Source organism: Homo sapiens, chromosome 1, assembly GCF_000001405.40.
Source record: "Homo sapiens chromosome 1, GRCh38.p14 Primary Assembly".
Lineage (NCBI taxonomy): Eukaryota > Metazoa > Chordata > Mammalia > Primates > Hominidae > Homo > Homo sapiens.
The window spans coordinates 227,393,554-227,405,818 of NC_000001.11; the positions used below are offsets into that span (position 1 = coordinate 227,393,554).

At 42.3% G+C, this 12,265-nt stretch overlaps 1 long non-coding RNA gene across 1 annotated transcript in view, besides 1 other annotated feature; it reads left to right on the forward strand.

Annotated features, from left to right (window-relative positions):
* LINC01641 (long intergenic non-protein coding RNA 1641) overlaps positions 1-12,265 on the forward strand; it is a 24,165-nt gene continuing 11,900 nt past the window's right edge. The window contains exons 1-2 of the long non-coding RNA NR_187381.1: positions 1-151; positions 1,966-2,061. This is a non-coding gene — a long non-coding RNA (long intergenic non-protein coding RNA 1641). The remainder of the gene's footprint in view (positions 152-1,965; positions 2,062-12,265) is intronic.
* Positions 2,685-3,884: an enhancer, noted in NCBI's record as "P300/CBP strongly-dependent group 1 enhancer chr1:227583939-227585138 (GRCh37/hg19 assembly coordinates)". NCBI's record gives its function as "activates an origin of replication core promoter dependent on BRD2, BRD4, P300/CBP, MED14 and CDK7 cofactors, with strong dependence on P300/CBP, by STARR-seq in HCT116 cells {active_cell/tissue: HCT116}" and the evidence as "EXISTENCE:reporter gene assay evidence [ECO:0000049][PMID:35650434]".

Sequence of the window (12,265 nt, forward strand, 5' to 3'; positions counted from 1 at the left end):
GTGGAGTAGGGTGGGCCTCTAATCCAACAAGACTGGTGTCCTTAAAAGAAGAGGGAAATATGGACACAGACATAGACACAGAGGAAGATGATGTGAAGACACACAGGGAAAACATCATGTAAAGACAGGCTTGGAGTGGTGCACCTACAAGGTGAGGAACATCTGAAGCTGCCAGAAGTTGTGAGAGAGGCATGGAGTAATTCCTTTCCTAGCACCTTCAGAGGGAGCACGGCCCTGCCTATACTGATAACGATGGTTCAACTTACAATTTTTCAACTATACAATGCTTTAAAAGCAATTCAGTAGAAACTATACTTCAAGTAACCATGCAACTATTCAATTTTTCACTTTCGGTACAGTATTCAATAAATTACACAAGATATTGAAAAATAGGCTTTGTATTAGATGGTTTTGTCCAATGGTAGGCTAATGTATGTGTTCTGAGCACATTTAATTTAGGCTAAGCTAAGCTGTGATGTTTGGTAAGTTAGGTGTATTCAATGCATTTTTTTTTTTTTTTTTTTGAGGTGGCGTTTCACTCCTGTCTCCCAGGCTGGAGTGCAATGGCACAATCTCGGCTCACTGCAACCTCCGCCTCCTGGGTTCACGCTATTCTCATGCCTCAGCCTCCTGAGTAGCTGGGACCACAGGCATGTGTCACCACACCCAGCTGATTTTTGTATTTTTAGTAGAGACGGAGTTTCAACATGTTGACCAGGCTGGTCTCTGGTCTTGAACTCCTGACCTCTGGTGATCTGCCCACTTCGTCTTCCCAAAGTGTTGGGATTACAGGTGTTAGCCACCACGCCTGGACGGATTTGGGGTTTTAAAAAATTCATTCTCACTTGGGAGGCCAAGGCGGGTGAATCACTTGAGGTCAGGAGTTTGAGACCAGCCTGACCAACATAGTGAAACCCTGTCTGTACTGAAAATACAGGTGTGGTGGCGTGTGCCTGTAATCTCAGCTACTTGGGAGGCTGAGGCAGAAGAATCGCTTGATCCTGATGGACTGGAGGTTGCAGTGAGCCTAGATCATGCCATTGCACTCCAACCTGTGTGACAGAGCGAGACTCTGTCTGGAAAAAAAAAATCATTCTGATAATCTCTTTTTGAAAGTCAATGTTTAACACGTTTATGGTTGCTGAGGCTAATGATAATGTTTCAACTTATTTTTAATTTTCTTATTTTTTCATCTTATGTTTATCATTCTTTGCTTATTTTTTCCTTTTTCCTTCCTTCTCTTGTGTTGAAAACATTTTCTATAGTCCTTTTTTCTTCTGCTGTTACTTTAGGAGCCAGACATGGTATCTTATTTATTTTAGTAGTTGTCCTCATAGTGTTAACTTGCATACTTAACAATTCCATATTCTAAGAACATCTAAATTATTAAATATTCCTCTTCTTTTTCCTTTCTAGAGTAGGAGAAGCCTGCCTTGCCTCTGGCTTCAAGTAGTGATAATTCAATTAATATTCAATCAATATTCAATTAATATTTCAATTAATATTTTTGGGGGGGACATAGTCTCACTCTGTTGCCAGGCTTGAGGGCAGTGGCGTGATCTTGAGTTTAAACAATTCTCCTGCCTCAGCCTCTTGAGTAGCTGAGATTACAGGCGTGTGCCACCACGCCCAACTAATTTTTGTATTTTCAGTAGAGACGGTGTTTTGCCATGTTGGGAAGGCTGGTCTCGAACTCCTGGCCTCAAGTGATCCGCCTGCCTTGGCCTCCCAAAGTGCTGAGATTACAGGCATGAGCCACTGTGCCCAGCCACAGTTAATTTTTTTATCTACTTTTTTTTTTTTTATAAAATAGTAAACATTTTTCAAAAATAAAAAAGATGTGGAAAATATCATTTCTTAGCCCCTGGATTCTGGAATTTTCTAATGATTATTTTTACCAAGTAAATAAGCCCAGGAGTAAATGAAATGTGGTTTACTGCTTGTGCTTCCTGGAATTTCTTGCAGCCAACACAGAATCACAGCATCTCAGAGTTGGAAGGAATTCTTCATATGACCACATTGATTTTTTTTTTCCTGTTGGTCGGCATCAGATTTGTGAAGGTTAGTGACTAAAAGGCTAAGACTTTAGAGAGTCCAGTGGCAAAGGTAGAAGTCCACTTCAAAGGAAGTTCAGACACCCAGCTGGTTCCTCTGAGGATAATTTATTTTCATGAAAACTTTCTGACGAGACCAGAGAGCAGAGAAGGCCATTTCCCTTTTCAGCTTATTACAAATGGAGTCATATTGTCAGTGGCATGCTGTTACATGTTTACAACCAGCTCTCCAAAAACAAAACAAAACAAACAAACAAAAAAAACCATAGAAGTGGTTGCTAACTTCCACAGTGGAAATACTCCCACCATGGCTACCAATGTGTCATCACTAAACACAGAATTGGGAAAAGATGCCCACATAGATTCTCTGCACTGATGGGAGTCAGTTTCAGCACACTACTACAACAATACCAAATACAGTAGATACATTCCCAACCTCAACTTAACCTCTCAGAAGCACTAGACATAGTTGCTTGCACCGTTATTGAAACACTCTCCCCTTGGTCTTTTTGTCACCATGCTGTCCTCTCCTTTCTCCTATGTCCAGGCTAATCCAAGTCTCACAGCTAACCCTATCTCCTCTCCTCTGCCTCTATGTATTAGAGACCACTTGGCACTCCTTATGGACCCTGTTTCTTTCTTCTCTCTACACTTTCCCCCAAGTAATCTTATTCAGTCCTGTAGCTTTACTTTTATTTCATTTTAGGTTATTTTATTTTTTGAGACAGAGTCTCGCTCTGTCACCCAGGCTGGAGTGCAGTGGTGTGATCTTGGCTCACTGCAACCTCCACCTCCTGGGTTCAAGCGATTCTCCTGCCTCAGCCTCCCGAGTAGCTGGGATTACAGGCATGAGCCACCATGCCCAGCTAATTTTTGTATTTTTAGTAGAGACAGAGTTTTTCCGTGTTGGCTAGGCTGGTCTTGAACTTCTGACCGCAAGTAATCCACCCATCTCCGCCTCCCAAAGTGTTGGGATTACAGGGGTGAGTCACTGTGCCCGGCCCAGTTCTGTGGGTTTAAATATCACCAAATGCTGTTAACACCCACATTTTAATCTCCAGTCCAGGCCTTTTTTCTGACCTCCAGGCTTGTGTAGCCAACTGCCTACTCACATATCTCAGAGGCAACTGAAATTTAACTTGTCCAAACCTGAACTCTTGATCTTCCTCCTCCCATCTTCCTTATCTAAATATATGTTACTACCATCTGTTCATTTGCTAAAGCCACAAACCTAGGAGTCATCTTTTCAAATGCCCTCTCCTTTGCTTATAACCGCCAGCCCATTACCAAATACTACTGATTCCACTTTCAAAATATTTCTCAAGTCTTTTCCTATTTCTCCGTCTCCAAGTCCTTATTCCCTCTCAAATGGACTACTGCAACTCAATTGCTACGCACCATCCCACCCTCTTTTCCTGCCCCTCCCTCTTATGCTCACTATGGTGGCCAGAGAGATCTTTGAAACATAGTTCAAACCTTGATAAGGATCCTTATATGGTTAGTGACTAAAAGGATCAGACTTCTGAGAGTCCTGTGGCAACGGTAAAATCCTACTTCAAAGGAAGTTCAGATACCCACCTGGTTCCTCTGAAGAGAATTTATTTTCGTGAAAAATGTTCTGAAAACTTTCTGGTGGGACCAGAGAGTGGAGAAGCCCATTTCCCTCCTCTCATATAAGGAGAAGTCCTTATATGGACTGCAAGCATCTGCATGATCAGATTTAAGTTTAAATCTCCAACCTCATCTCCTACCACGCTCCTCACTTACTACACTCTAGCCACATTAAGTTGTTTTCGGTTCTTAACCATGCAAACACCATCTTATCTTGGATCTTTCACATATGCAGTTCATTTTCCTGAAATGCTGCATGTGCCCCACCCTATAACCTTCCACCTAAACCTCGCCTTTCTGACACTAACTCATCCTGATGCTCTCGGCTCATCATTTTTTCAAAGAGGCCTTTCTTGGTCTCCCAATCAAAATCCAGTCCTCTCTTGTAGTCTCTCATGGTTTTCCATTTATTTTCCTCATAGCGCTTAATATGGCTTATAATTCTAAGTACTGATTGTGCTTGTTTAATGTCTATATTCCTCCCTTAGACTACAGGCTCCATGGCTGCAAGGATCATGTCTGTTATATTCATTGTATACCCAAGGCCTGTCTTACAATAAGTGCTCAATAAATATTTGCTGAATGAAGTAATACATAAACAAATGAATGAAACTTCAGATTTTCACATAAGTCCTTTTAGGTTATACATTTGGGACATGTATAAAGGGGAGGTTGGAGTGGCTGTTGGCATTGAAGCTTTAGAATGCTGTGATAGAAAAAAAATTATAGTTCCTTTAATGAGAGGACTGTTATAGCACTATAAAGTGGAATGATTTGTTCTGAAAAGGAATCCTAGAAAACAAACCAAAGAAAACATGAACTTTTCCGAGGACTAGAATTCAAAACAAATGATCAAGTAATAATATAATCACCAAGTAGATTCATTTTATGAAAAGAAGTGCTGAAGGAGAACTCTAGCATAGAAGTCAGACAATATGCTCTGGAGTTAGAGTTGATTCTGTCACTTAAATAGCTGTGTGAACTTGAACAAATTCCTTAGTCTCTTATTTCCTTCCTCTCTAAATCAGGGACATTAATATCACTGACTTCTTAAGGTTTTTGTGAGATAATGCATCAAAAACACATTTTACCACTGAAGTCCCTCTACCTTTAGTTAATTTCTCTGAGCTCCAGTATTTTCATTTATAAAACAATGGATTTGTGCTTGACTTCTCTTAAGAGCCTCCAGTGCAAAGACCCTTTTTATTCTATGTAGTTGGATGCTCTCAAAGCCATCCCTACTCTCAGTTAACTAGATGAAGGGCACTGCACTGTAAGGGTCCCCTGTGGTACACCTGGGCAGGAACAGGGTGTATTGGGCACTGTTTTGTAAGGAGACTGCTTGTCTGGTGTGCCCTTACCCAGTACAATGAGTTTTAGAATCAACTTTTAAAAACGTTTTAAAAATATTTATGGATTTTTTTTCTTTTCAAGAATAGTACATACTAGTAAGTATACTCCATTAGGGCAGGAGCTATACCATCTCCCTTTTCTCTTTCATTTAGTTAATTTTCTTAAATAGACTTTATTTTTTAGAGCAGTTTAGGTTCATAGCAAAAATAAGTGGAGGCCAGGCACGGTGGCTCATGCCTGTAATCCCAGCACTTTAGGAGGCCGGGGCAGGTGGATTGCTGGACCCTAGGAATTTGAGACTAGCCTAGGCAACATAGCAAGATCTTGTCTCTACTAAACATCAAAAAAATTAGCTGGGCATGGTGGCACTTTCCTGTAATCCCAGCTACTTGGGAGGCTGAGGTTGGAGGATCGCTTGAGCCCAGGAGGTCGAGGCTGCAATGAGCTGTGATTGAGCCACTGCACTTCAGCCTGAGTGACAGAGTGAGATCCTATCTCAAAAAAAAAAAAATACTGGAATAGATACAGAGTTCCCATATTTCTTCTATCCCTGCACATGCATAGCCTTTCCTACTATCAACATCTTCCACCAGATTGGTACATTTCTTACAATTGATGAATCTACATTGACACATCACTATGACACAAAATCCAGAGTTTACATTAGGGTTCACTCTTGGTATCTTACGTTCTATGGGTTTGAAAAAAATGTATGATGACATCCACCATTATAGTGTCATACAGAGCAGTTTCACTGCCCTAAAAATCCTCTGCGTTCTGTGTCTTATCCCTCCCTCCCCGACAATGATCAATGATTTTTTACTGTCCCCATAGTTTTGCCTTTTCCAAAATGTCATGTCATTGGAATTATACAGCCTATAGCCCTTCAGATTGGCTTCTTTCACTTAGTAACATGCACTTAACTTTCCTCCATGTCTTTTCCTGGTTTGTTAGCTCATTTCCTTCTAGTACTGAGTAATACCCCATTGTCCAGATGTACCAGTATATTTATCCATTCACCTACCAAATGACATTTGGTTGCCTCTGAATTTTGGCAACTATGAATAAATCAACACCTGTGTGCAGGTTTTGTGTGGACATAATTTTTTTAACTCACTTGGGTAAATACCAAGGTGTGTGAGTGCTGGACTGTACGTGAAGAATATGTTGTGTTTTGTAAGAAACTGCCAAACTGTCTTCCAAAGTGGCTGAAACATTTTGCATTCCCACCAGCAAAGAGTGAGCCTTTGTGTTGCTCCACATCCTCATCAACATTTGGTGTTGTCAGTGTTCTGGGTTTTGGCCATTCTAATAGGTGTGTAGTGGTGCCTCTTTGTTTAAATTTGCATTTCCCTGATGAGGTATAATGTTGAGCATCTTTTCATATGCTTATTTGCCATCTGTGTATCTTCTATGGTGAGGTGCCTGTTAAGATCTTTGGTTCATGGCCGGGCGTGGTGGCTGACGCCTGTAATCCCAGCACTTTGGGAGGCTGGGGCGGGCAGATCACAAAGTCAGGAGATCCAGACCATCCTGGCTAACACGGTGAAACCCTGTCTCTACTAAAAATACAAAAAAAAAAAAAAAAAAAAATTAGCCGGACGTGGTGGCGGGCTCCTGTAGTCCCAGCTATTTGGGAGGCTGAGGCCGGAGAATGGTGTGAACCTGGGAGGCGGAGCTTGCAGTGAGCCGAGATTGCGCCACTGCACTACAGCCTGGGTGACAGAGCGAGACTCTGTCTCAAAAAAAAAAAAAGATCTTTGGTTCTTTTTTTCTTTTTTTTGAGACGGAGTTTTGCTCTTGTTGCCCAGGATGGAATGCAATTGCATGATCTTGGCTCACTTCAACCTCCACCTCCCGGGTTCAAGTGATTCTCCTGCCTCAGCCTGCTGAGTAGCTGGGATTATAGGCATGTGCCACCATCCCCAGGTAATTTTTTTTTTTTTTTTTTTAGTAGAGGCAGGGTTTCACCATGCTGGTAAGGCTGGTCTCAAACTCTTGACCTCCGGTGATCCACCTGCCTTGGCCTCCCAAACTGCTGGGATTACAGGCGTGAGCCACCACACCCAGGGCTTTGGCTCATTTTTTGATGGGGTTTAGCGTTTTCTTATTTTAAAAACATCAATTGTTTAATTTAATCGTTTTTGCTATATTCAGAGTTTTGCACCCATCGACCCCCCACAGTCAATTTCATCATTTTTTTATCTCCAAAAGGAAACCCATACTCATCAGAAGAAACTCATCATTCTCCCCTCTCCCAGCCCCAGGCAACCATTAATCTACAGTTGACCCTGGAGCAACATGGGGCTTGAGGGCACTGACCCCCTGTGAAGCCACAAATCTATGTATAACTTTGGACTGCCCCTAAATTTAACTACTAATAGCCTACTGTTGACTGGAAGCCTTACTGATAACAAACAATCGATTAACATATACATATTATATACTATATTCTTACAGTAATTAGAGAAAATAAAATTTTATTAAGAAAATCATAAGGAAGATAAAATATATTTACTATTCATTAAGTGGAAGTGAATCAAAATAAAGGGATCATCATGGCAAGTGGGAGGCAGAACTAGATTGCAGCTCTGACTTGGATGGACAGAGCAGCATGCAGAGGCTAGCGTCGTGAATTTTAGCTCCAGAACAACTGCAGGAATAAACCAGGAATCCCAAGAGGACCCACAGACCCTCTGAAGGAAGTGGACTGCTCCTGCAGGACCCAGGAGACACCCCAAATATTGTGTGTCCAAAGTGTGAAAGTGGGAAAGGGAGATCTTCCGCCCCTGAGGCACATACCCCCACTGGGGAAACTGAAGGTCTTGTTTGCGGGAGAAGTTTCTGACCTCACCTGAAGCTGAGTCAATTTAGAGAGTCACGCAAAATACAGAGGTAGAGGAAGCAGCAGGAAAGGCCCTGGGAGCTTGCTGGGTCCCCAAGCAGCCCATTCCTGCCTGGCACCACAGGGATCTTTGGGAGGGTGGCCAGAGGCGGGGGGAAAACACCGCAGGGAGAAGAAAGTCTTCAGTTGAACTTTGTAACAATTTGAAGCAGGTGAGAAGCCTCCTGGCCAGAACTTTGGGTGGGGATGGGGGGCGTGAATCCAGCGTGCAGACTCCACAGGTAGGGGAAGAACTAAAGCCTTTTTCTTTCACAGCCAGGAGGCGGGTAGCCTGGGGCAAGTTCTCAGCCCTGCTTGCCCACTGCCTAGAAACAGACTTGGTGCTGTTAGCAGGGACACAGTAGGAGTGAGACCAGCCCTTCAGATTGTGTGGGAGCTGGGTGAGGCCTGTGACTGCCAGCTTTCCCTCACTTCCCTATCAACCTGCATGATTCAGAAGAGGCAGCCATAATCCTCCCAGGCACACAACTCCAGTGACCTGGGAACCTCACCCCCATCTCCCACAGCAGTCACAGCAAGACCCGCCCAAGGAGAGTCTGAACTCAGACACGCCTAGCCCCTTCCCCCACCTGATGGTCCTTCTCTACCCACCCTGGTAGCTGAAAACAAAGGGCATATACACTTGGGAGTTCTAGGGCCCTACCCACAACCAGTTCCTCTCCATACTACCACAGCTGACGCTCTCTGGAAAGCACCACCTCCTGGCAGGAGGTCAACCAGCACAATAATAGTGCATTAAACCACCAAAGCTAAGAACTCTCACAGAGTCCATTTCACTCCCTGGCACCCTCCACCTCCACCAGAACAGGCGCTGGTATCCGCAGCTGGGAGACCCATAGATGGCTCACATTACAGGACTCTGTGCAGACAAACTCCAGTACCAGCCCAAAGCCTGGTAGACTTGCTGGGTGGCTAGACCCAGAAGAGAGATAACAATCACTGCAGCTCTGCTCTCAGGAAGTCACATCCATAGGAAAAGGGGGAGAGTACTACATCAAGGGAACACCTCATGGGACAAAAGAATCTGAACGGGCCGGGCGCGGTGGCTCACGCCTGTAATCCCAGCACTTTGGGAGGCCGAGGTGGGCGGATCACAAGGTCAGGAGATCAAGACCATCTTGGCTAACATGGTGAAACCTCGTCTCTACTAAAAAATACAAAAAATTAGTTGGGCGTGGTGGCGGGCACCTGTAGTCCCAGCTACTTGGGAGGCTGAGGCAGGAGAATGGCGTGAACCCGGGAGGCAGAGCTTGCAGTGAGCAGAGATCGCACCACTGTACTCCAGCCTGGGAGACAGGGCGAGACTCCATCTCAAAAAAAAAAAAAAAGAATCTGAACGACACCCTTCAGCCCTAGCCCTTCCCTCTGACAGAGCCTACCCAAATGAGAAGGAACCAGAAAACCAACTCCGGTAATATGACAAGATATTACCTAAATGCCCCACTTAAATGATACAGAACTGCAGAATGGATAAGAACTCACCAAACATCTGCTGCCTTCAAGAGACTCGCCTAACACATAAAGACTCACATAAAGTAAAGAGATGGAAAAAGGCATTTCACGCAAATGGACACCAAAAGTGAGCAGGGGTAGCTATTCTTATATAAGACAAAACAAACTTTAAAGCAACAGCAGTTAAAAAAGACAAAGAGGGACATTATACAACGGTAAAAGGCCTTGTCCAACAGGAAAATATCACAATCCTAAAAATATATGCACCTAACACTAGAGCTCCCAAATTTATAAAACAGTTACTACTAGACATAAGAAATGAGATAGACAGCAACACAATAATAGTGGGGGACTTCAATACTCCACTGACAGCACTAGACAGGTCATCAAGACAGAAAGTCAACAAAGAAACAATGGATTTAAACTATACCTTGGAACAAATGGACTTCACAGATATATAGGAACATTTCATCCAACAACCACAGAACACACATTCTATTCAACAGCACATGGAACTTTCTCCAAGATACACCATGAGGCCACAAAATGAGCCTCAATAAATTTAAGAAAATTGAAATTATATCAAGCATTCTCTCAGACCACAGTGGAATAAAACTGGAAACCAATTTCAAAATGAACCTTCGAAACCATGCAAATACATAGAAATTAAATAAGCTGCTCCTGAATAAGCATTGGGTCAAAAACGAAATCAAGAGGGAAATTTTAAAAAGTCTTTGAACTGAACGACAAAAATGACACAACCTATCAAAACCCCTGGGATACAGCAGAGGCGGTGCTAAGAGGAAACTTCATGGCCCTAAACACTCATATCAAAAAGACTGAAAGAGCACACACTCACATTCTAAGGTCACACCTCAAGGAACTAGAGAAACAAGAACAAAGCAAACCCAAATCCAGCAGAAGAAAGGAAATAACCAAGATCAGAGCAGAACCTAATGAAATTGAAACAAACAAAATGCAAACGAACAAACAAAAAAATGAAACAAAAAGCTGGTTCTTTGAAAAGATAAATAACATTGATAGACCATAGCAAGATTAACCAAGAAAAGAAGACAGAAAATCCAAATAAGCTCAATAAGAAATGAAATGGGAGATATTACAGCTGACACCACTTAAATACAAAAGATCATTCAAGGCTACTATGAACACCTTTCTGCACATAAACTAGAAAACCTAGAAGAGGCTGGACGCGGTGGCTCACATCTGTAATCCCAGCACTTTGGGAGGCTGAGGTGGGTGGATCACGAGGTCAGGAGTTCAAGACCAGCCTGGCTAATATGGTGAAACCCCATCTCTACTAAAAATACAAAAGTTAGCCAGGCGTAGTGGTGCATGCCTGTAGTCCCAGCTATGCAGGAGGCTGAGGCAGGATAATCGCTTGAACCCAGGAGGTGGAAGTTGCAGTGAGCTGAGATTGTGCCACTGCACTCCAGTCTGGGTGACAGAATGAGACTCCATCTCGAGAAAAAAAAAAAAAAAGAAAGAAAGAAAGAAAATAAAAAGAATAAGAAATCCTAGAAGAGGTGGATGAATTTCTGGAAAAATACAACCCTCCTAGCTTAAATCAGGAAGAATTAGATACCCTGAACAGACCAATAACAAGCAGCAAGACTGAAATGGTAATTTAAAAATTACCAACAAAAAAAAGCCCAGGACCAGATGGATTTTCAATAGAATTCTACCAGACATTCAAAGAGGAATTGGTACCAATCCTTTTGACACTATTCCACAAGATAGGGAAAGAAGGAACCCTCCCTAATTCATTCTATGCAGCCAGCATCACCCTAATTCCAAAACCAAGAAAGGACACAACCAAAAAAGAAAACTACAGACCGATACCCCTGATGAACATAGATGCTAGAATCCTTAACAAAATACTAGCTAATTGAATCCAGCAACATATCAAAAAGGTAATCCACCATGACCAAGTGGGTTTTATACCAGGGATGCAGGGCAGGGGTGGTTTAACATATGCAAGTCAATAAATGTGATATACCACATAAACAGAATTAAAAACAAAAATCACATGATCATCTCAATAGGTAGAGAAGAAGCATTCGACAAAATCCAAGCATCCCTTTATGATTAAAACTCTCAGCAAAATTGACGTACAAGGGACATACCTAAATTTAATAAAAGCTATCTATGACAAACCCACAGCCAACATAATACTGAATGGGGAAAAGTTGAAAGCATTCCTTCTGGGAACTGGAACAAGACAAGGATGCCCACTCTCACCACTCCTCTTCAACGTAGTACTGGAAGTCCTAGCCAGAGCAATCAGACAAGAAAGAAATAAAGGGCATCCAAATCAGTAAAGAGAGGAAGTCAAACTGTCACTGTTTGCTGACGCTATGATCACTTACCTCGGAAACCCTAAAGACTCCTTCAGAAAGCTCCTAGAACTGATAAAAGAATTCAACAAAGTTTCTGGATTGAAGATTAATGTACACAAATCAGTAGCTCTTCTATACACCAACAGTGACCAAACAGAGAATCAAATCAAGAACTCAACACCCTTTATAATAGCTGTGAAAAAATTAAAATACTTAGGAATATACCTAATCAAGGATGCAAAAGACCTCTGCAAGGAAAACTACAAAACACTGCTGAAAGAAATCATAGATGTCACAAACAAATACAAACACATCCCATGCTCATGGATGGGTATAATCCATATTGTGAAAGTGACCATATTGCCAAAAGCAGTCTACAAATTCAACACAATCCCTATCAAAATACCACCATCATTCTTCATAGAATTAGAAAAAACAACTCTAAAATTCATATGGAACCAAAAAAGAACCTGCATAGCCAAAGCAAGACTAAACAAAAAGAACAAATCTAGAGGCATCATACTACCTGATTT